This window comes from Homo sapiens, chromosome 5 (genome assembly GCF_000001405.40).
Source record: "Homo sapiens chromosome 5, GRCh38.p14 Primary Assembly".
NCBI classification, from domain to species: Eukaryota; Metazoa; Chordata; class Mammalia; order Primates; family Hominidae; genus Homo; species Homo sapiens.
The window spans coordinates 9,215,011-9,239,387 of record NC_000005.10 but is presented as its reverse complement, the minus strand read 5'-3'; the positions used below and the strand labels follow the sequence as shown (position 1 = coordinate 9,239,387).

General features: G+C 40.8%; 1 protein-coding gene across 11 annotated transcripts in view, besides 1 other annotated feature; it reads left to right on the top strand.

The window, feature by feature from the left end:
• SEMA5A (semaphorin 5A) overlaps positions 1–24,377 on the top strand; it is a 511,043-nt gene that overhangs the window by 306,688 nt on the left and 179,978 nt on the right. For all 11 annotated transcript variants that reach the window (XM_011514158.3, NM_003966.3, XM_011514157.3 and 8 more), the window contains 3 exons: positions 1,498–1,560; positions 12,421–12,519; positions 14,501–14,714. In XM_011514158.3, coding sequence (XP_011512460.1) covers positions 1,498–1,560; positions 12,421–12,519; positions 14,501–14,714 — 376 coding nt within the window. The remainder of the gene's footprint in view (positions 1–1,497; positions 1,561–12,420; positions 12,520–14,500; positions 14,715–24,377) is intronic.
• Positions 16,515–17,135: an enhancer, noted in NCBI's record as "OCT4-NANOG-H3K4me1 hESC enhancer chr5:9222365-9222985 (GRCh37/hg19 assembly coordinates)". NCBI's record gives its function as "activates a minimal SCP1, AML or CMV promoter by ChIP-STARR-seq in primed H9 embryonic stem cells {active_cell/tissue: H9 hESC(primed)}" and the evidence as "EXISTENCE:reporter gene assay evidence [ECO:0000049][PMID:30033119]".

The window sequence follows — 24,377 nt, the reverse complement described above, 5'->3', positions numbered from 1 at the left end:
GTCATCCTGGTATGGAATTCAAATCATGTGTTTGCATCAGATGCTGATTAGCTATGACTGTATTGTTACCATCAAACATTATGAACAGGGAAACAGCACAGAAGGAATTAACAAATTCTCTTATCAGATGTTGACACTGACAAAAATCTTCAAGTCTGCACAAGGGAAAACAGTTATAGCATTGTTTTGGTTTCAAAGACACTGAAGTGGTTCTTTCTAGAATACTTTTCTTATGGACTCATATTTGCCAAGTAACATAAATTATACAAGATGCAGTGTTGTATGATTTAATCTCTGTTATGTAACATTCTTTGGAAGGCAGAAGATATTAGAGAATGGTGTTAGCCTGACTTTGTTATTCTCCCAAGTTTGGATAATTAGAAAGAAAACATTTCTTACTAAAAAATAAGGGTGAAGCCATTATTTTCCTTCATATGATTTGACACTAGGTTGCTTTTGGTTTAGTTTATTATTTGACATTAGTCCAAATTAACAGAAAAAAGTCTCTATCTCAAAATGTCTTTCTGTTAATGATTGAATTACCGCACATCCCTGTTCCTTCAGAAATCCAATTTTAATAGTAAAATAGAAAATAATAATTCTGATAACAGGTATGGAGAATGAAAAAAATATTTTTACCCTATAAAAGTTCACACTCTATACAATGATAGAAAAGAGAAAAAAAAAAAGCCCAGGTGCCTCAATTTGCGCAAAAAACTATTCACGAGAGCTAGGCCATGGATGCCTGTAGGCATCCTTTCTGTAAAGCAAGCCCTGTCTGTTTTCTTCACTAATCACACATTTCATTTGTGAGTTAGCATCAGACGTGGAAGCACACATAGCAAATTAATCAGCATAAGTGAGATTTGGAAATTCTGAGAAAAAATATTTAAAAGCTGTGGCTCTAAACATTTAGTCAGAGCTAATAATAGTATGAAAATGACTGCTACTGGGGAAAAATCCTAGCTATGTTCTTTGCATGAGCTATCTATTGATTGATTATCATTTACAGGTATATCTTGGTAGTAAGGATATGCAAAATCATCCTTCATTATCTATGAATATTGATAAATGACATATTATTTGAATAAAATAAAAATGTTAAAATTAATATTTAAATTATCTTGTCTCAAGGCCTCTCCCTTAAGCCTCGTCTGGGTCTATTCCATAGTTTCACTGAAGTGATCATTTCTACCATCAGTGCTATAGTCACCAACTCATTGTTCCTTTCTAACAGTGACTAGATCTAAGCATCCCATCATTACTACCCAAAAGCAAATAGTAAGGGGGAAGGTCCTTATGCTTCAATATTAGAGCTAAATCTAAGCCCATGACTAAATTTCATGTATTTGGTGTAAATTCTATGAGTATGAAAATGTTGGTGCCAGGATGCAGCCATATTTCCTAATCTGGTTACCAGTGCCTTGTTACCTTGTTTATATTTTCCCTTTTATTTAGTCAAAACCATGACTGCTATTGTTTTGGTGTTTTCTACAGGCTGTGGAATGGGAGTGTGATGAAGCTACCAAAAAGGCCTGTTACAGCAAAGGCAAATCAAAGGTAAGAAGAATGCAATTATGAGCAGCCATCACCCTGTCTTGAAGGACTCTACACTATATAAAGCATGTTGATATGAAGAGTATTCCTGATTACGGTGCCATGTAAAGTGAAAAAAGCAAGATTCAAAATATGTATACGGTATATTCTCAAGTTTTTAATACTAAATTAAAATTAACCCCAGCAATCAATCATTTCCAAAAAGGATTCAGAACATAAGAAGATCAGAGCTAATTTGCCCTTTCTGTCATTAGACTAAGATAAGAAATTAATTGATTGATAGCGCTGGAAAAAATATGGGCCTGAATTTTTAAGATATTTTAAATTCCTCCTTTCTTACTTTACAGCTAAATCTAGAAAGTAATGATATGACAAATAAATTTATTACATAAAATATTATTTGTGATAGATTCTTTATCTTAACATATTCTTTATAATAAACTCTCTTTTCATACGAAAATCTACATCCCATGTTCCTATAGAATGTGCAGTTTATAGCTAAGGTTGGAAATGTGTTTCTTGAGCAATTGTACATGTTGCAGGCTTCTTTCAAATGTTTCTCTGGCTCAAAAAGATGCGTGATTCTTTGCCTTTCCAGGAAGACTATGTGTCTTTGAGAAAATTATTCATGATCAACTTGAGGAAATTCTTCTGCAGCTTGTGAACAGGCTCACTGTGTATTATTCTGTTAGTGATCTTCTTACTTTATATTGGAGCACAGACTTCCAATGGTGAATTATGCTTTGGGTTACAGAAGACAGCAGTTATACACAGAGTAGAAAAGAGGGCTTGCTATGCAAAGTTGGTCCTAGGACCAATAGTTTGGGGAAAAAAATATAGCAAATGCAGAGAGCACTGGCAAAAGATCCTCCCCCTTCTGTATTTATAAAAGAGTGTTATGTACCTTTTTTTTACCCAATTTCATTGTCTGCTTCCCTGCCCTTTAACTGAATCGCTGTGGGAGTCAGACACTGAGGCAAGTGTCAGCCAGCTTAGTTATGGGGTTTCCCAACCCTGAATAAAGGAGTAGGAAGAAGAGAAGGAGGAAAATGCAGTCTTAGCCAGGGAAACACTTGGAGACAAGGGGGAAATAAAGCAGGAATTGATGAAGGGTATTTTCTGGAAGATATTTAACCGCAGAAAAGGCCTCTGAGTTAAATCATCAGAGATATAAGGAGATTTAAAGGTACTCCAATTGTCAAAGAATTCGAATGTGATATCCTCAAATGCTCCCCAAAATAAATAAATAATCTAAAGCCCACACATCGGGGACCCCTATAACCTTCTTGTTGAGTTTGTAGAAATGATGTATAGGACTTTTGAAGAGGTGATTTCTAAATAGTTTCCTTTTTCCTCCCTGTGGTGTTTGAGTCTCAATGTGGGGGTTGTGTGGCTCGGCCCTCGGCCCCACTTCACTGGTCAGAGCACAGTCCTTTAAATAAGACCACCTGTGCCAAGGAATGAGATGGGACCTGGAGTCAGACTTACATGAAGTGAGGGGTGGAAAGATGGCTTTCTTTATTTCAACTAGTAAGATTCACTGATGCAAGCACCACTGTTCCATGCTCTCAAGGCCTGCCGTGGGCCTTGCCTGGGGATATCAATGCCTCCCAGGGGTTGCTCTGTGTGATGCCTGATATGGTTTGGCTGTGTCCCCACCAAACTCCATCTTGAATTATAGCTTCCATAATTCCCATGTGTGCTAGAAGAGACCTGGGGGAAGGTAATTGAATTGTGGGGGTGGGGCTTCCCTGTGCTATTCTCATGATACTGAATAAGTCTCACAAGACCTGATGGTTTTTAAAGGGGAGTTCCCCTGCACAAGCTCTCTTGCCTGCTGCCATGTAAGACGTGTCTTGCTTCCCCTTCATTTGCTGCTATGATTGTGTGGACTCCCCAGTCATGTGGAACTATGAGTCCATTAAGCCTCTTTCCTTTAAAATTACCCAGTCTCAGGTATTAGCAGTGTGAGAACAGACTAATACAGTGACCTAGCTCTCCCTCTTGCTTTTTCTCAACTCTTTCTTCTTGTCTTTATCTTCCTTCTGGTACTTTGACTCTTTCCTCTCCTCTTTTTCTTTCTTTCTGGGTCTCATGGACACATCAATAAGCACTATTCAGATTTGAGCAACCTAGCAGCAGATATTGTTGATGCACACTTGTCACAGTGTCTGTTCTGAAAATGTTTAGCTGATAGCCCAGACCTGAGGGGCCCCACCCTCCTTCCCTCTCCCAGGTCCCAGTGCTATTTCCTCGTCCGATCTTAACACTCCCAGCCCACGGTGAGCGTTTAAAGATGTTCCACTGAATGACTGAATGAACATGAGAAGCCCATACCAGGGTAGTGAACTTTAATTTAGGGTTTCTCATCTTCATCATTATTGATATTTGGGGCCAGATTATGCTTTGACATGGCAGCTATTCCATACATGGCAGGAAACACATTGCCAGACATTGACCTGGTCGGGAATCCCTGCTTTAATTTCCAAAATGGCAAATTTATTTGTCACTTTTGCATTGTTTATTTTGATTTTTATGCTCCCTAGAGTCCTCTCATATTTCATCTTGATTACATGTATATATTTGTTACAAAGACGTTTAAAAATTAACAGTTAACTCCCTTCCCCTTTATGAGCTTCAGTCTCCTTATACTCCTTGTCCTACTAAAGCAAAGCATCAGATTCCATCATGTAGCGAGGGGTTTTTCCTCCTCATAGTCTGGAAGTCCATAATTTACAAAGAATCTATGTGGTTGCCTTTTGCTAATAGATTATTTCTACTTGGGGTGAAAAATTGCTTCTGCTGAAGAAGAACTAGCCCACGTTTTGCCTTAAGCCGTGATCATTGGTTGTTTGGTGCTTAGAACTTAAGTAAATTGAACCCAGAGAAGTATTAGGAAAAGGCCATCTTTTGGGACCGATAGGTAATATACCCTCGATTCACGGAGGAGACCAATCGTTACTACACTTAATTGAATTTTCTTGATACACAGAAAGCAAATGAGGGAAACAAATATTTTCAAGTAAAATCAAACCTTTATGTTTCACATGCTTTGGGTTTTAATGGATTAAAAATAATGGGAAATCTTAGTAATTATTAATTGACTCAAACCGCATTTGTGAATGGATTTTTTAACACTAATATAGTAAGACAGATGAAGATGAGTGTCAAGCACCACGTACTCTGAGAAAGATAAATCACACGTTCTTTTAGGTTGCCTTAAGTATATTGATAAATTCACAGACAGTTTAAATAACTTCTGTTGCTTCGAAGTACAGCTCAGTTTATGTAGCAGAGCTGTGTGCATTGGAAATTCCTGTGTACAAAAATGATGCAGTAGCTTTACAAACATGTTGGTCTAGACAGCACTGGGCTGGTTCATGGGTGGTGAGAGGAGAGGGCTCTTCACCCACCTTTATAAGTTCCTCTTTCTTATTTGGCATCTCTCTTGCTTTCTTAACATAGTAACTGAACAATGACCATGATGTGACCAAGCTGGCTGACCAAGCCCAGCTCCTGGGACAGAGAAGGGAAAGAAACAAGGCAGCCCCTATGAACAGGGGCAACTGGACCAAATGCAGCCTCCGAAGGACTGCCCCCTGAACTCAGAATTCAGACAACCCACATTTCCCCATTTTGACAGTTCCTAGGAGCCAATTCAGAGAACATTCTCACAGTCAATTTGACTGATAGGTAACGTCTCTTTGGGTGAATGGAATGAAGACTTTTCTTAGTGGTCATGAGCTTAGAAGGCTAATTCAGCTGTTTTGTAGTTTTGCTTGTGCTGAAGTTCTTATGAGAACAGAATTACAAAGTTTCCCTTCTCCCTGAAATAAAAAGAATAATGCAAAATGTGACATCTCAAAAATGAGAAGAATGCCAGCAATTTAAACTGAAGTTGTTTTTTTTTTTTCCTACTCTGAGAAAAGTGGTCTGTGCTTCTGCACATAATGCATTTAGCTGCTGAGCTGAGCTGGAATGCATGCATGGAAGGAGGTGGCTGGGTGTGCAGGGAGGACACTGCCTGTGCCCACTTGCTGTTCTGATGGGAGCATTCCTCAGCTTGCTGCAGAGTGGAGGAGAGTAGAGATGATGGATTTCCCCTTGTTTCCCTGGGATGTCTGTATCCAGACACAGATATGATTTCACATATAATCCATTAAAAGTACAATTTAGGGAATTAGGGTCAAGAGAAGTTATCCAGATTTTTTATTTGGGCCAGGTTTGAAAAGAAGGTAGGTACTGAAGCTGCCAAGCCCTTGTAAAGTTTGAATTCTATTTTATTTAGAAAATGTTCAGCTCCCTTGGGAAAGAGGGAGTGCCTTTGCCTGCAATGGCTTAAATATTCCATGGGGGAAAAAAAGTGGGGGTGGGGAATCTGTTTTTATGGATTCAAAAACTTATAATAAAACCTGTTGTATTTAGTTCTTCTGGACATAGCATTATAGAAACTGAATTCTATAACTACTTAAGTATCTTTTACACAAATATTATTTTAAACACAAATAGTCAATTCTCTCACGACCTAACAAGAGTTCCTTGTGTGTGTTGGGCTATAATGTCTGAACTGACGTTCCTCCCACTCTGACATTTAGGAACTTTACAAAGGAAACACAGCTGATTATTATGGGAATGAAAGAGCTGCTGTATGCTTCTATTACACTTTGTGATTTTCAAAAGTTTTTGTTCATGATCTCATTTCAGGATTTTTGACACCAAGTTCCTAGAATTATTTTGCTAGTTAGTGGGAGGGTTTTGATTAGAATCCAGAGCTATGTATATTGTTCTCCCTGTCATATCCTGTGGTCCTGTTTACCAAGTTGTCAAATTATGCTGGTAAAGAGGTAAACTCCTAGTGAACAGGAGAAGAAACTCATGACACCATACTACCTAAGTGCCTGCTGGTGTAGGGCTGGATCTTGACATTTTGTACCTAAGTGCCAATATTTTGAAAGCTGTGAGTTAATCAATACATGGGACACATTGTAGCCCTGCTTTTATTTTATGTAATTGCTTTAAAAATTGAGGGTACTTTAGGTTAAATACTAACATTAGGTTAAAATTAGATTATGCACACCTAATTTTATTTTTTTTAATTGAGGTATCCAAAAAGGTTTCCCATGAAGTCAGCTCAGTTGAAAATAGAGTATGTACATATATACAGTATAGTATATTTTATATATCAATACACTGTACATTACATAGCACGTAATATATGTATATGAGTGTTTATCTCTACATATTGCATCTGTGATTTGCATGTGCATATATTCACAAGTAATACATGTATACAATTATATAGATACAACCTTTATACACACACACATACACACATACATCTGATTTGGTTAGGTATGGTTTTGCAAGAGTCACCAGGTAATCATGATTTAGGTTGATGTGGGTTCAACTTTGAAAGGCTCATGCAATTCCTGTAAATTGCTCTTCTTCAGCACTTTGATGCTGACAAAGATAACACATTATGAAGAGGACACATTGATTTCACTGGGAGCACTATGATTAACATAAAGCCTGTAGCCTTCTAACCCTTACCTTTCCTCCCTAAAATTAGTGGGCTGGGCGACGGGCTGGGTATTGCTGAAGAGATACCTGAGGGATCCACAGAACATACCTGTTTAAAAAAAAATCATGAAATGCTATATGACAAAACCAATTAATTCATTAAGAAAACAGCCCTAAAACATGTTTTCTCTGCTGGGGCTGGGGCCTTGTGTCCTTGAGACCAAGTGGGTATTGGCCAGTCTCCATGTAAAAGCCCTTTCTATGAGTCAGCAACCATGCTCCTCGGCTATCAATTGCCTTGAAGTCAAGGACAGGTTGATACGTCTGTGGATCACAGGCCCACATGGGTCATTTTAATGTTCAAGTGCTGTGATCAAAATGTAGATAGATGACTCTCATTATCAACCCTAGAAGCCTTGTGGCAGCAAGCTGCTAGAGGCCTTGGAGATGTGCACTGTGACTTCTTGGAAAATCAGAATTCATTAAATCCTCTTCACCTATTTTCAAGTTACAGAAATGGGCTAGAAGAAAAAATTCTTAGATGACAAAAGGAAAATCATAGACATTTAAGTATGCTGATTTATAAGAGAAACCTTTAAAAGAATCTCCTAAAGGGACTTCTACATTGTGACTCTACCTCTACATTGTGACTCCAAGCAGTACTTCAAGCAAGTTCAGGTAACCCATGGAAAGGCCACGTTTGTAACAGAGATTGGCAAAGTGCGTTGCCAGTGGATCTGCAAGAGAATTTGAGTTTTGAAAACACCATCAAGAGGAGACTAATTATTACACAGCCTGGAACGGTTACTCATTTCCATTTTTTTTTTTTTTTTTTTTTTTTTTTTGAGATGGAGTCTTGCTCTGTACTCAGGCTGGAGTGCAGTGGCGCCATCTTGGCTCACTGTAAGCTCCGCCTCCTGAGTTCAAGAAATTCTCCCACTTCAGTCTCTTGAGTAGTAGCTGGGGTTACAGGCATGCATTACCACACTTGGCTAACTTTTGTATTTTTAGTAGGCATGGGGTTTCATGTTGGCCAGGCTGGTCTCGAACTCCTGACCTCAGGTGATCTGCCTGCCTTGGCGTTCCAAAGTGCTGGGATTACAGGCATGGAACCACCGTGCCCAGCCACTCATTTCCTTTTATTCACAGTATTGACTGTCCAATTCCCAAATTTATCTTCTGCTCAAAAGCTAAATACTTCTACTTTCTTTTTTTTCCCTGTGTTTTCACATTCTGTTTCAGTTGAACTTGTCCCAATCTCTCTTTTCAAAACATTTATTATTTTAAATGAATTTGTTTGGAATTCACATCTGGAATTCACAATCTGTGAATTAAACATGAGGATGCCTTTAAGGGAGTAAGAACGGGAAGTACGTGAGATGCCCTTAGCCAGTTGGGTGACTGAGTTATGCTCTTGACAGTTAAGAAGAAACTCGAATACCACCCACCTCCACTCGTTGCTCCTGTAGGACTCAGTGAATGAGCACACCTACTGTTATTGGTGATAACTCAGACCTCTAGTTAAGGCTGGGGCCAACTACACTACTACCCTCCTTCATTAGCTCCTGATTGCCACAGGCTCCTCTGGGTTCCATAGGGCTGGGGCCACCCTCCATCATTTTATAAAAATTCTGCACAGACCTCCTTGCCTGATCATCTGGATCCCTGACATCTTCCTCCTTTTTTTCCACACACTCACTCCGTTCTGCGAAGAACACCAGTGACACATGGGGATGTGGCTCATCGCCAATAATAGAGCCAGTGTCTTCATGTATTCTCACGTGGTCTTAATGATCAGAACGTGCTCTTTCATTCTCTGCCCTAATTGAAATAATTCTGTCCCTTTCCTCATTTACTTTTTCTCTGATATTCTTACACTACCAGCTGGGTTTGCACTGCCCCTCCCTGGCACACTGCTGCACCATGGTTACCATGGTTATCACACATTCTGACCAACATGCTGGTTCTTCGTCAACCTTGAGAGTGGTCTTCAGGAATGTTAACCTATAGTTGCAGGGCACTGTGGCTCATGCCTGCAATCCCAGCACTTTGGGAGGACAAGGCAGGAGGATCCCTTGAACCCAGGAATTCGAGACCAGCCTGGGCAACATAATGAGTCCTTGACCCTACAAAAAAAAAAAAAAAAAAAAAAGAAAAAAATAGCCAGGGGTGGTGGCATACACGTGTAATCCGAGCTACTTGGGAGACTGAGGTGAGAGGATCACTTGAGCCCAAGTGGTCGAGGCTGCAGTGAACCACGATTGTGCCACTGCACTCCAGCCTGGGCAACAGAGTGAACCCTTGTCTCAAAAAACAAAAACAAAAACAAAAGAAAGCAACCTACAGTCTTATTTGCACTTTGTTCTTCCTTTGGGAAATTAACGTAAACACCATATTTGATATCTTGGTTATTCTCCTTTCCATAATTGACTGGAGGCCCTTGCTTTCTCTTCACCAGGGCTGTAGAACTCTGCTGTGAAATCACATCTTTTCAATCCAGATGATTCTCCTGGAACAAATTACCCTTGCCCATGTTGTTTGTGGTTTACCTTGGGGCAAGCTCTTGCTTTTTTTTTTTTTTTAAAGGAAAAAGTTTTATTACATCTTGCCTTGCTTTTAAAAGAGTTCTAAAAGCAGCATCAAAAAACAAACAAAACCTCACCCTTCTATTCTGTTTGTAATTTTCCATCCCAGTCCTTATGATGGTGTCATTAATATGTCTGTGTCATCCATTAAGTCCATCAGCTTGCTCAGCCCTGTGTTCTGGAAGATGTCTTTGTGGGTCTCCTCTGACAGGCATCGGCTTCCTTCTTTTATCCTCACTCTGCCTGCCTTTATAGGCTCCCGTACCCCTCTAGTTTCTTCCCTGGCCCTCCTGTGTTCTCTTCAGCCTGGGAAGGAAGTACTGTGTGGTTCTTTGAAGTCTTTTGTTTTGTTCTTTCCCTTTAGAACTCTCCTGACCCTTCCCCAGGAATAAAAACAAAAGAGAACAAAACAAGACAAGCCTCCCACCTCTGGTGTACCTTTCTCAGTTACCAGATTCACTGTCTACTGTTTACGAGCATTTGGTAATTCTTCTGAAGTCTACTTAGGTCTTTGTGGTTGTTTTCCATCTTCCTCAGTTCAGCTTCCAATGATAAGTGGTTACTATTACTGTTAGGAATAATGTTAGGAGGATAATCCACCCTTGGTATTTCACTTTACATTTAGAAGCCAATCTGAGCCAGGAGTGGTGCTCGCACCTGTAATCCCAGCACTTTGAGAGGCCAAGGTGGGAGGATCATTTGAGCCCAGGAGTTCGAGACCAGCCTGGGCAGCATGACAGAACCCTGTCTCTAGTAAAGAAAATACAGAAATTAGCACTATGCATTTCCGCTGTCTCGATGCTATGCAGTAGACTGGGTTATGGGAAATTAACACTTTCATCTAGAGTGGGGGTCCATTTGGTTGAAGAGAAGATGAGCTATACCATTACATCCAGATTCCCCTGATTTCCAGCATGATGTGATTCAAATCATCATGTTATCATGCAGCATCTTTCATGCCTCGTGCGTCATTCATTCGCCATGGCGTGCAATTGACTCACTATTCTGGCTTTGTCCTTTCACACCTACTACCTTGGTCTAGGCATGAAATGACAAGAGCCTGAGTTATGGAAGTGACTTCCTCCTTGGCTTCCTGACTCCAGGCTTCTCTCTTCAGCTTATCCTGCACATTGGTTTCTGAGTGCTTCTTCAGTGATAAAACATGAGAGCTCATCAATACTTCACGCAGTCAAAACATGTAATGGCTCCTTTCACATTCAGAGTAACATGTGAACTCACTACCTGGGCACACTTGGCCTGTTTCAGGCTCCTCGGCTTCTATGTGAGCTCCTCTGTACACAATGAGAGCGCCATGCTTTCTCTAGCCACGACACTTTGACACAGTCTGCTCCTCTTGAGTGGAGTGTCTTTTCCCTCCTTTGCTCAGTAAAGTCCAACAGGTGTCCTACAAGCACCCCCTCCAGGAAGCCTCACTAAACCTTACACTTTATTTAACACTTAGTTGTCAGCTCCTTCAGGAAGCCTCTCTACACCTCTTCCCTTCCCTGTTCCTTTGGAGCTACGTAATATGCTATTCCTCTGTGTGTCCTCATTACAGTGCATGGACAGCTCTGTGGTAATTGTCATGATCCTGTATTTTTCTGCCAGGAGCCTGGATTGAGACTTCTAACCCAGTGGCTACCAAAGAGGAGCTACTCAGTGAATGCTTGCTGAATAAGTGAGGAGCTCTCCAGCTCACATGTCCATCACTGCTATGACCATACCCAGGGTTTTCTAAGAACACTTTGCAACCACAAAAAGTACTCCATTCTTGGAGTATCCCTCAGCCTAGGGTTTTGTCCCAAATGTTTCGAACATCTTGTCCTCATTAAGCATATTTTCACTTTTCAATCAATGAATTAAAAATGCCTATACAGGCCGGGCGTGGCGGCTCACGCCTGTAATCCCAGCACTTTGGGAGGCCGAGGCAGGTAGATCACGAGGTCAAGAGATCAAGACCATCCTGACTAACATGGTGAAACCCTGTCTCTACTAAAAATACAAAAAATTGGCCGGGCGTGGTGGCGGGCACCTGTAGTCCCAGCTACTCGGGAGGCTGAGGCAGGAGAATGGCATGAACCTGGGAGGCAGAGCTTGCAGTGAGCCGAATTTGCACCACGGCACTCCAGCCTGGGCGACAGAGCGAGACTCCGTCTCAAAAAAAAAAAAAAAAATTCATATAGATACTTGCTTTGTATTTAAAATATGCAGTTGGATCCCATAAAGTAAAATTTGCTCCAGTTTGTGTACAGAGTTTCTCATGTGACCTTCTGATCAAAAAGCGCTTGCAGCATTTTCTCAAAGTCTGAGGAAGTTTTCCAAGGCACTGCTTCCCGAGCGACATCTAATAGGTTCCTTTTATTTATTTTCCTAATACCCGTCCAAGGCCATTTAGCATTTGTGCTACTATCAGATACAATTCAAAATGAAATCATTTCTGTCAAAATTAGATGCATGCTTTGAGAATTTAATTGAACATGTATTTATCTTCATATTTTTTATCAAACAAGGTGCAGATACAGCAATTAAATTTATTTGATAAAAATCAAATTGTTTAATAGCTCTGTTGTTATTTTTTGGTCAATATCTGAAAGGTTTATTTGTTGTTTTAATGGTTTACATTTTATTAATGGCTTACATATTTATTAGATAAAATGTATTCCTTCTCACCATTCTTCTTGTGCTCAGACTTTGTTAGCATGTTTATCATTATACATATATATATATATTTTTAATTAATTTATTTATTTTCCCTCAGGAGGAATGTCAGAACTACATCCGGGTGCTTCTGGTGGGTGGCGACCGGTTATTCACCTGTGGGACCAATGCATTCACGCCTGTCTGCACCAACCGCTCGGTATGGCTTCTTTTTGTGCCTCAAAAGAATTTAATATCAGAAGAGGCAAAACATTGTGTAAAAATACTAGTTTTAAATGAATTTCTATACACCAAGGTGTTGCTGTTCAATTCTAAAGCACTTTTTGTCAAATTGAATAAATATTTGATTTATTGATATATTTCTAATCAGGACCATCAATTAGATAAATAACTGGAAATAATTATAACTTGTATAATTAAACTTAAATATGTTTCTAAACTATTCCAACCAGCATTTTTTTCCACCAGTGACTTTAAACATTAATCCTAAACATATTCTTTTTTGTCTTATTCTGCTTTATGGTAGAGATACTGTTACTGTTATTTATATTTATTTAAAATTATTAAAATGGTCTAAAATCACAATCCAAGGGAAGAAAAAATTAGCCTACAAATTGGATAAGAAGTATGTAAAAAAAAATAAGCAAACTAAGAAATTGCACCCTAGGCAAAGTCCAGTTATAACTGATCCTCTTTCTTGTCTTTAACCTGGCAATCATTGACAGAGTAATTTTCAGCTGCACACACCATAGCAGTAGCATGGCAGGGTCAGTAGAACACACGTGGAATCTTCCTAATTCAGGGTATAAATGCAACCTTCCTCTGGGAATATCATGAAGAAATATGTTCATTCCCTGGTTGCACAACTTTCCTCAAGACCTTAATTGACCATCTGCTTTTACTGTTCATGATTTCAGGTTAGCATTCAGTTATTGGAAATAAAGGGAGGAGTTGGATGATAAGGGGTGTGAAACTCAGGGAGCTCTCTAGGTGCTGCACCCTGCCCTGGGCGCTTTCACCAGTGCCATGGTTCAGTCCTCAACATCTGCCCCACAAGATCGCTACTCTTTGGGGCCCCCTTTTATGAAAGAAGAACCTGAGACATAAAGAGCTGAAGGAACTTACCCAGGTACACATCTCATAGCAGAGCAAGCAGTGTGCCTGTACCTACCGGGCCTGACCCTTCTGCTCCAATACCTCTCAGGCGAGAACCAAGAACCAAATTGAGCAAAGATTCCACCAGTACCCAAGAGCTTTTCTCATTCAATGGCTGGTTGGGAATCCAGCATTTGGGAAGCTGGATTCATACGAAATGACTCCAAGACGCTTAGCTATCTCTCTGAAAACTGAAAAAAAAGAAAGAAAGTGTTGGAAATGTGGGCCACATAGTGTTGAATATCCACACATCCTTACTTGTGAACACATTTTTTGGGGCTATTCATTATATTTTGCTTCACTTATATTGATAGAATTATACATAATTTTTTTTTTTTTTTTTTGAGACAGAGTCTCGCTCTGCCTCCCAGGCTGGAATGCAGCGGCACGATTTTGGCTCGCTGCAACATCCGCCTCCTGGGTTCAAGCGATTCTCCTGCCTCAGCCTCCCGAGTAGCTGGGACTACAGGTGCATGCCACCATGCGTGGCTAATTTTTTTTTTTTTTTTTTTTTTTTTTTTTTAGTAGAGATGGGGTTTCACCGTGTTAGCCAGGATGGTCTTGATCTCCTGACCTCGTGATCTGCCCGCTTCAGCCTCCCAAAGTGCTGGGATTATAGGCGTGAGCCACTGTGCCCAGGCAATTATACATAATTCTTTATTGTGATCCTATTTCTGTAAATATTGACACTGGTTTTTATATTAAAGTGGAAAAGTATGCAATACTTGTGCATTATAAATCAAAGGCATATATACAATGATCTTATTTCTTATTTTGTGAGTATTCAGTGGTACAAGGTTCAGTAACTCTAAAGTGATGAGAAAGAAACTGATTGATGGACTGTCTTACCATGAGCAGAGTAGGCTCTTTACATCAGTTGGAATGTAAAAGTTGGTCATCTTGCCCCATGGGCCCCCGAGAGGCTGTTGCACAAGCGTCACTGTGATGATGGTGGGTGTGACCATAAGCATCACTAAAGGGGCTTGTGCAGAGATAACTGCTTTCCCTCTCATCCTCCCCCACAGTTGAGCAACCTGACTGAGATCCATGATCAGATCAGTGGCATGGCCCGCTGTCCCTACAGTCCCCAGCACAATTCCACAGCGCTCCTCACAGCTGGTGGGGAGCTCTATGCTGCTACAGCCATGGATTTTCCAGGACGTGATCCTGCCATTTACCGAAGCCTAGGCATTTTACCTCCTCTCCGCACGGCGCAGTACAACTCCAAATGGCTCAATGGTAAGCCTTCCGTCACTCCCTCTTTCTCACCTCATTTGTCTTTGATTCCTGGTGATTTGGTGCTCAAAAGCAAACTACAACACTCTAAATAAAAATGAATTCTTCATCTTCTAAAGAAATCAAAGTGTCGCTTGTTCAGGACTAATGATAAACAGGATATCATATGGCTATTTAGTATTTGGAAGAGAAGTGATATTCGCAACACTCTAACCATGATAATATGGCTAATGTTGATATGACCACTTATAGAAACTTGCTGTTTTTTTTTATATTGTTGTTTAATGTCTAGAAAATTTGACAGCTTGTCATGTGTAGACTCCTGTGCATTACTTCTTAACTTCCATTTTATGTGTCTAGAAATGGAAATTACTAACATGGCATGTAATTTTCAGCAACTGTATAAAAGAATGTGTTTGTCTATAGGTAACTCCAAAAAGTATGACAATTAAAAATGTAAAAAATGTATCAACTCACATACTTAGAAGTTAGTAGTAGGCATCTTCAGGGTTTATTCATTCAGTGGCTCAGTTAATAAGGAGGCGAGTATTCACTGCAGTCTCTGCCATCCACAGTCTGGCAGATGGGCCCTCAGGCCACCTCTGCTTGTGGTTGCAAAATTGTTGCTGCAAATTCAGGTATTGCATCCACATGTGGCAACATCCACTCGAAGAAGAGCCACATCCCTCTCCCCTTTTCATCCATGCATTTATTTTTAAAGAAACCAGAAACCCTTAGAAGGCTTCTTTCAGTTCTGGGCCAGAACTTGGTCACTTGCTTACTGAGCAATCAGAAGATGGTGACAACCATCCAAATTGAGGTTCGCTGTGTACAAAGCCCTGATGTGTGTCAGCTGAAATGCAGCCCTCTGTATATCTGTGCATTCATGTGTGAGTGTGGTCTCACACACACACGCACATACACATACACCTACAAAGACAATGTATATGTACCATGTGTAATCCATTGCCCCAAGCATTTATTTGATAGTTTGTACAAAAGTGAAATCTTGAGAGTTAGTAGACTTTTGCTACATATCAGCTAATTATGTAGACCAGAGTTTCTCAACCTCAGCACTAGTGATGTTTTGGGCCAAATTGTCTTAGTTGTGGGACTGGGGGGTGGGTCTTGTCCTTGGCATAGTAGGATGTCTAGCAGCATTTTCAACCTATAGTCATTATATGCCAGTAGCATCCTCCTCTGCCCAGTTGTAACAACAAAAAATGTTTTCAGCAATTTTTCAGTACCCCCTGGGAGGGGGGAATTAACTCTAGTTGAGAACCACTGCTTTAGACTCATCATATATGCAAAACCATGGATACGTGTACATATATTCAATGCAAGTATTTTGCCAAATAATACAGTCAACCTAATCATCAGAGATTGCCTTTAAAAGACTGTCCTGTAGGAAAAAAAGGATGTCCTCGTCATTAACTTTCTCAAGTAAACTAAATGACTCTATTGCTTCCAAAGGGAAACATGAATTGTTTTCCCAAACTGAAGCACTAACTAGAATTCTCCCATTAACATCATTTCTGTTGAACTGACTTCAACCGAATCAGTTGATTCTATGTGGATGGTCCCCTTTTGGCCCTGAAACTTTCATCTGTGCAGCTTCAAGTTGTTCTTTCCATATGTTTGTTGATTCTGACTGGCCAAGGAAGTTTCCACTTAAAAATCAAGAATCCCTATCCCAATAAAAGCTTTGTAATTAGCATTTGCCAGAAGCAAAGTAAAAAGCTCTTTTCCCAAAGTGACACTTTAAGAATATCCTGGAAAAACAATTCAGGTCATAGTATGAGTTACAAACACTAGCTGCCTTCTTACATGTGACTGAGTGACCACCAGCTGATCAGGTGGTCAGTATCGGTCAGCGTCCTGGTTGTCAGCATCTGTGAATTCTCCTTTTCCATTGGAGAGTCATGTGTTGCCATCCAGGCAATGGAAGAGCTAAAACAGTGTTTATCACAGTCTTCTCAGGCATAACATTGTTATTTGATTTACAAAGGCATTAATGTTTCCGATTCCTAAAACATTCTGCTGTTCATTTCTAAGATCTGATAACTGCAGACACTGAAAGTAATTCAGAGGTCAATACGGTGGCTCTACCACTCAGGCCACAAGGGCAGCACAATTTGCATGACAATGAATAGCCTGCATTTCTCAGGAAAGCAGCATTTCCACCGCCCTCCCCCACACTCCTTCCCTGGCCTACATTGGGAAGACCCTCTCTCCTAGGATAGAAAACCAAGAGCCCTGCCTGAGGACCCTGAGTTATTGCATATGAAGTGTTGTCTTCATACCTCTCCTGTGTTTTGTTAGGGCACTTTCTGCTACTGCTGAGCCCTGAGATACTATTTCCACTCCTAGTTGACCCTGATTCGCTTCTCTGATTGATCCTCCATCCAGGATGGATTCTGGTCTCTAACCACACTAGGTTCTGCTTCCACCCCCTGCTGAGCCTGAACACAGGGACATTTATCCTTCCTGGCCTAATTGGGACACAGGCTTTGCATCCCATCTGTTCTTTGCCAGATGCCCTTGTCTCAGGTCTTCCTCCTTTAGTTCTCCTTCCACTCCTGCCCGCCTGCACTGACTCCCACCAAATCCAGCCCCAGGGGGGGCCACCCCTTGGCTTCTGTGTCTCTTAAACACTGGGGTGCTAGTGAGAATCGTCCTGTGGTAGAAAGGGCAACAGAAAAGGTGGAGCCTCTGTCTTCAGTGAGGCCCTCAGGTCAGCTCCGTAATGGTCTAAGCACCCCAGTTCCTGTCCTCTCCCCTTGCAACTACCCCCACTCCAGTCCTCTCCCAGCCTCTCCCAGGGATTCTCAATGGGTTTATCTTTCCTCCTACTTTACAGAGAAATGTTAGGTTCTAAAGGGTTTTTCCCAGTAAGCCCTCAAACTTACCTCTTCTTGTCACTCGGGGTCTGTAGCTGATTCTTTCTGCTGTGTTCTGGAGTAATTTTCGTTTTTTGGACAATATTTCTGCCTTATCCATTATCTTTCTTTTCACCATAACCTCAAATTTCTTCCTTTCTAATGATGACTCATGATTTCAGAAAAATGTTCGGGGGGCCAGGCGCGGTGGCTCACGCCTGTAATCCCAGCACTTTGGGAGGCCGAGGCGGGCGGATCACGAGGTCAGGAGATCGAGACCATCCTGGCTAACACTGTGAAACCCCGTCTCTACTAAAAATAGAAAAAATTAGCCGGGCGTGGTGGTGGGCGCCTGTAGTCCCAGCTACTCGGGAGGCTGAGGCAGGAGAATGGTGTGAACCCGGGAGGCGGAGCTTGCAGTAAGCCGAGATCGCGCCACTGCACTCCAGCCTGGGTGACACAGCGAGACTCCGTCTCAAAAAAAAAAAAAAAAAAAAAGAAAATGTTCGGATGCCTTTTCTCTTAAGTAAGACAAAAACAAAGAAACCGCAACAAGCTAAAAACAAACACCCTTAGTTCTGCCGTGTCCAAGAATGCTCCCCTTTCACATGGTGATTTTAAGGACCCATTAAATGATGCTCTCAGACTTCTCTCTTGAGTTTTCAACCAAGTGAGCAAAATAAAATTTGAGAGTTGGACTTGTTGCGGAAGGAGGCTACAATGGGGTGGTGAAGGCGTAGGTCTTCCTGCTTTGGTGGCCATGCAGTGGCAATTTTCTCTCAGCAGAAACAGGAGGAGTGGAGGGTAAGTCCCTGTCCCATCAGTTGCCCTCCATTATTGGCTGACTTTGTTGAGGACGGCAGTCTTAAACTCCCATCTTCAGGCAATTCTCATCTTCTCTGCCCTTTGCATCCCACCATGCGGCGCTGCTGTGGTTCTCCCCAGTCCCACAGTGTCTAGTTACATTATTTGAGGACCGATTTCCAGCCATTACCTTAACTATCTTACTGGAAGGATGACATTGTTGCCTCGAAGTTTCTTTTACAGAAAGTTTATGCTGTACCATACTTAGGTAGTGCACGCTGTGGCTTGAGCGTCTGCCCTGTCCTTGACTCTTTTCCTTCCGCTGGTCTTTAAGCTTTGCTTATCCCTGGGAATTCTGTCCTCAATCCCTTCCTTCTGCCCACTCTTCTCATTCCACACGCTTTTCTTGGATTCCCATCTATACCAAATTTTTTTTGTTGTTTTTTTCTTAGTTTTCTATTTCAATAATTTCTGGGGCACAGGTGGTTTTTGGTTACTTGGATTCCCATCTATTCTGAAGTTTTTTTGTTGTTTTTTCTTAGTTTTCTATTTCAATAATTTCTGGGGCACAGGTGGTTTTTGGTTACTTGGATTCCCATCTATCCTGAAGTTTTTTTGTTGTTTTTTCTTAGTTTTCTATTCCAATAATTTCTGGGGCACAGGTGGTTTTTGGTTACATGGATAAGTTATTTAGTGGTAATTTCTGAGATTGTAGTGCACCCTTCACCTGAACAGTGTACACCGTACCCTGTATATAGTCTTTTATCCCCCACTCCCCTGCCAACCTTTCCCACAAGTCCCAAAAGACCATTGTATCATTCTTATGCCTTTGCATCCTCATAGCTTAGCTCCCACTTACAAGTAAGAACACACGATATTTGGTTTTCCATTCTTGAATTACTCCCCTTGGAATAATGATCTCCAGCTCCTTCCAAGTTGATGCAAAATACATTATTTTGTTCCTTTTTATAGCTGAGTAGTAGTCCATGGTGTATATGTAATCACATTTTTTTTTCTATTCCAAAATTTTAACTCCCCTGACTCACACCATGCCCGCCTACTGAGGACCATTCACAGATCTGGTCTCAGCTCCGACTTAGTCCACAGATGCGATGTTCACTTCCAGCTGGATGCTCCTTGCAGTACTTTCAGCTCAGCCTACCCCATTCATGTTCATTTCTTTGTTTTTCAATCTTGGGTATGGGCTCTGTATTAGTTTTCTAGGGATGCCATGACAAAGTATCACAGCCTGGGTGCTTAAACAGCAGACATTTATTTGCCCAAACTTCTGGAGGCTGAAAGTCCAAAAGGAAGCTGTCAGCAGGATTGGTGTCTCCTGAGGCCTCTCTCCTTGGCTTGTAGATGTCATCTTCTCCCTATATCTTCTAAACATGGTCTTCCCTCTGTCCATGCCTGTTGCCTAATTTCCTATTCTTATAAGGACAGCAGTCATATTGGATTAAAGCCCACTCCAATGACCTCATTTTAACCTAATTACCCACTTGAAGACCCTGTTTTTGAGTATAGTTACATTCTGGAGTACTGGGGGCTGGGACCTTAACATAAGTTTTGGGAGACAAAACTCAGCCCAGAGCAGGCTCCATGTTTCACCTCTCATCTGAGCCAGACACCTGCAAATCTCAGCCAACTCCTTCCCTCTCTTTCCAGACCCACTCAACCCCAGGTCCTGCAGAGACCACTTTTAGAGTGGCTCCCAGACCTGAGTCTTTCTTCTTATTCCTCCACTTCTGTGCTTGTTCAAGCCTTCCTCATCTGAAATGCTGCACTAGCCCCTCTCTGACCCACTCTCCACAGAATAGCCAGTAATATGTGGTGTGAAGCTTTGAGATAGACAGTAGAAGCTTTGGAGTTAGACGATCTGAGGCTTGGCCCTTGGGGCATAAATTTGTCTTACTGGTTCTTGGCTTCCTCATCTGCATACTGCAGATCACTGACTACCTGACCTGGACATTGTGAGAATAAAGTGGGACAACGAAGATGATAAGTATTAGTGTCTGGCACATAGTCAGTACTCCACAAATAAGGGGAGCTACTGTGAACTCCCCAAAGTCCGATACAATGTCTGAGATGTAGTAGGGAGTTAATACATGTTTGTTGACTGAATAAATGAGTGATTATTTGGGCCTGTGGTTCTTGAATTACTGACACCTTCCAACATCCTCTTTCCTCATCTTTACTGGCACATTCAAGCTACATCCATCACCATCTAATCTTGTGACTTCCAGAACATTAGCAGGACTTGGATCCTCTAGAAGGCCACCACTCAGCTAGCAGCTGCTTACATATAATGATGAACAAAACTCACTTCTTTGTTTTGCATGCTTTTCAGTTTTTTGCAACATTTTTGTGTTGAGGAAAGAAAATTGTCTCAGCAGGAGAAGTTGGGAGGGTATAGCAGCTGCTAACCTTAGTCAGCAAAATTTTTGCATTCCGATTAACTGTGATTAAATTGTGTATGAGACAATTTGCTTATGCATTTAGGTAGTCCCTCTGCATGTTTCCAATAGTTATTGGACAAACCGATGAAACGCCCAGTAGAGCAGTCACTAACTTTTACTGCGTGCTCATATACTGGGCACTGTTCTGCCCAAACTTCCAGGCAGCCAGCAGACAGCCACCAATGAATTGTTTCATCAAGCCATACCTTCAGTGACATTTTGGACAGTGCCTGTGCTTGTTTCCTAGGTTGCTAAAACAAAGTACCACAAACAGGGTAGCTCAAAACAATAGAAATTTATTCTCTTTTTTTAAAAAATATTTATTTAATTTTTAACTTTTCGGTTCTGCAGGATATGTGAAGGTTTGTTACAAAGGTAAACCCATGTCATGGGGTTTTGTTGTACAGATTATTTTATTACCCAGGAGTTAAGTCCAGTACCCAATAGTTATATTTTCTTCTCTTCTCCCTCCTCCCCGCCTCTACCCTCAAGTAGACCCCAGTGTTCTTTGTTTCCTTCTTTGTGTTCATAAGTTCTCTTCATTTACCTCTCATTTATAAGTGAGAATATGGATAGGAATGAAGTTAGAGATTTAGAAGGACAGCAAAATGCAATCCAAGGAAAATAAGGATTATAATAAAGTGATACAGAAGCTGAAGGAAGGAATAGCCCATATAAAAAAGAACTTCACAGGTCTGACAGAGCTGAATAACACAATACAAGGATTTTACAATGCAATCACAAGTATTAACAGCAGAATAAACCAAGCTGAGGAAAGAATCTCAGAGCTTGAAGACTGGTTCTGTGAAATAAGACAGTCAAAGAAAAAAGAATAAAAGGAATGAACAAAACCTTTGAGAATTGTGGGATTATGTAAAGAGGTAAAGACACCAAATCTATGAATCCTCGGCATCCCTGAGAGGGAGGGGAAGAAAGCAAACAAATTGGAAAACATATTTCAAATATCATCCATGAAAACTTCCCCAACTTTGCTAGAGAGGCCAAAAGTCAAATTTAGGAAATACAGAGAATGCCTGCAAGATTCTACAGAAGAAGATCATCCCCAAGTCACACAGTCATCAGATTTTCCATGGTCGAAATGAAAGAAAGAATGTTAATGGCAGCTAGAGAGAAAAGACAGGTCACCTACAAATGGAACACCATCAGGCTAACAGTGGACCTCTCAGCTGAAATCCTACAAGCCAGAAGAGATTGGGGGCCTATATTCAGCATTCTTAAATTAAAAATAAAGAAAAAGTCTTCAACCAAGAATTTCATATCCGGCTAAACTTAGCTTCCTAAGTGAAGGAGAAATAAGATTCTCTTCAGATAAGCAAATGTTGAGTGACTTTGTTAACCACCAAACTTGCCTTACAAGAGATCTTGAAAGGAGCACTAAATATAGAAAGGAAAGACTGCTACCAGCTAATACAAAACCACCCTTAAACACGCAGCCAGTGTCACCATAAAGCAACCACACAAGCAAGCCAACATAATAACCAGCTAACAACATAATGATAGGATCAAATCCATGCATATCAATACTAATCTTGAATGTAAACAGGCTAAATGCTCCCCTTAAAGGGCACAGAGTGGCAAGGTGGAGAAAGAGGCAAGACTCAATAGTGTGCTATCTTCAAGAGACCTGTGTCACATGAAGTGACACCCATAGGCTCAAAATAAAGGGATGGAAAAAAATCTACCAAGCAAATGGAAAAGAGAAAAAGGCAGGGTTTGCCATTTTAATTTCAGACAAAACTGACTTCAAACCAACAAAGATCAAAAAGACAAAGACAGGCATTACATAATGGTAAAGGATTCAGTTCAACAAGATGACATAACTATCCTAAATATATATGCACACAACACAGTAGCACCCAGATTCATAAGTTTTTAGAGACCTTCAATTAGTCTTGGACTCACACACAATAATAATGTGAGACTTTAACACTCTACTGACAGTATTAGACAGATCATTGAGGCACAAAATTAACAAAGATATTCAGGACCTGAATTCAACATTGAACCAAATGAATCTGATATACATTTACAGAACTCTCCACCAAAAAACTACAGGACATATATTCTTCTCATTGTCACATGGTACATACTTTAAAATTGACCACATAATTAGACATAAAACAATCCTCAGAAGCTGCAAAAGAACCAAAACCATACCAAGCACACTTTCATGTCACAGTGCAATAGACATAGAAGTCAAGACTAAGAAAATCACTCAAAAAACCATGTAACTACATGGAAATCGAACAACATGCTCCTGGGTGACTTTTGTGTAAACAATGAAATTAAGGCAGAAATCGAGAAGTGCGTTGAAACTAATGAGAACAAAGATACAACATACCAGAATTTCTGGGACACAGCTAAGGGAGTGTGAAGAGGCATAGCACTAAATGTTCACATCAAAAAGTTAGGAAGACCTCAAATTAATAGGTTACCATCACAATGGAAAGAATTAGAGAAACAGGAACAAATCAACCCCAAAGCTAGAAGAAACAGGACCTAATCAACCCCAAAGTCCTAGCTCAGGTATGCATCATATATAGCCTGTGTTTAAAGGGCAAATCTCTCTGAGCCCCACAGTGCTCATCTAGACAACAAACAATCAAAATCAGAGCTGAACTGAAGGAAATCAAGACATAAAAACTCATTCAAAAGATTAGTGAATCCTGGAGTTGGTTTTCTGAAAAAAAAAATAAGATAGGCCACTAGCTAGACTAATAAAGAAGAAAAGAAAGAAGATCCAAATAAACACAATTAGAAATGAAGAAGAAAATGTTACCGCTGAACCCACAGAAATAAAAATAACCATCAGAAACTACCAGAAATGTATTGTCTTAAAATGCTGAAGGCTGAAGGTCCAAAATCAAGGTGCCGGCATGGCCATGCACTCTCCAAGTCCTTGAGGGGAGAAACCATGGTTACCTCCTCTAGCTCTAGTAGCCCCAGGCACTCCTTGGCTTATGATAGCTTCAATCCTATGTCTGTCTCCATCTTCACATGGCCATCTTCCTGTGCCTCTCTCTAAATTAGCCTTTCCTTATAAGGATACCAGTCATGTTGGAATATCTTAACTTGATTATATCTGCAGAGACCCTGTTTCCAGATAAGGTCACATTCATGAAAATTGGGGGTTGGGACTTCAACATATTTTTTTGGTTGGGGGATGGGTACAGTTAAACTATAACACTGTCCAAAGGAAGAAATACTCAACTGTTGAGATCTGAAGTCACAACGCCTTACTTTCTGCTGACAATCTTAATGCTCTTTCTTCTACTGCTGGTAAATCTGTTTACTTCTCAGGCTTCCTATATCAGCCATATCATCTCCATTGTTAGCAGATGGCGTTGTCTTCTTGTTTCCTGTGAGAGTCATGAGTCCTGAGGTAGGGATGGTGATCTCCTGTCTGCTTTGCCCAGGGCAGAGGGCTGTTTTACATGTTTCTTCCTTCCTCTCTCTACAGTACTGCTATGGACAATGCATTCACTTGAACTGCTGCTTTGTCC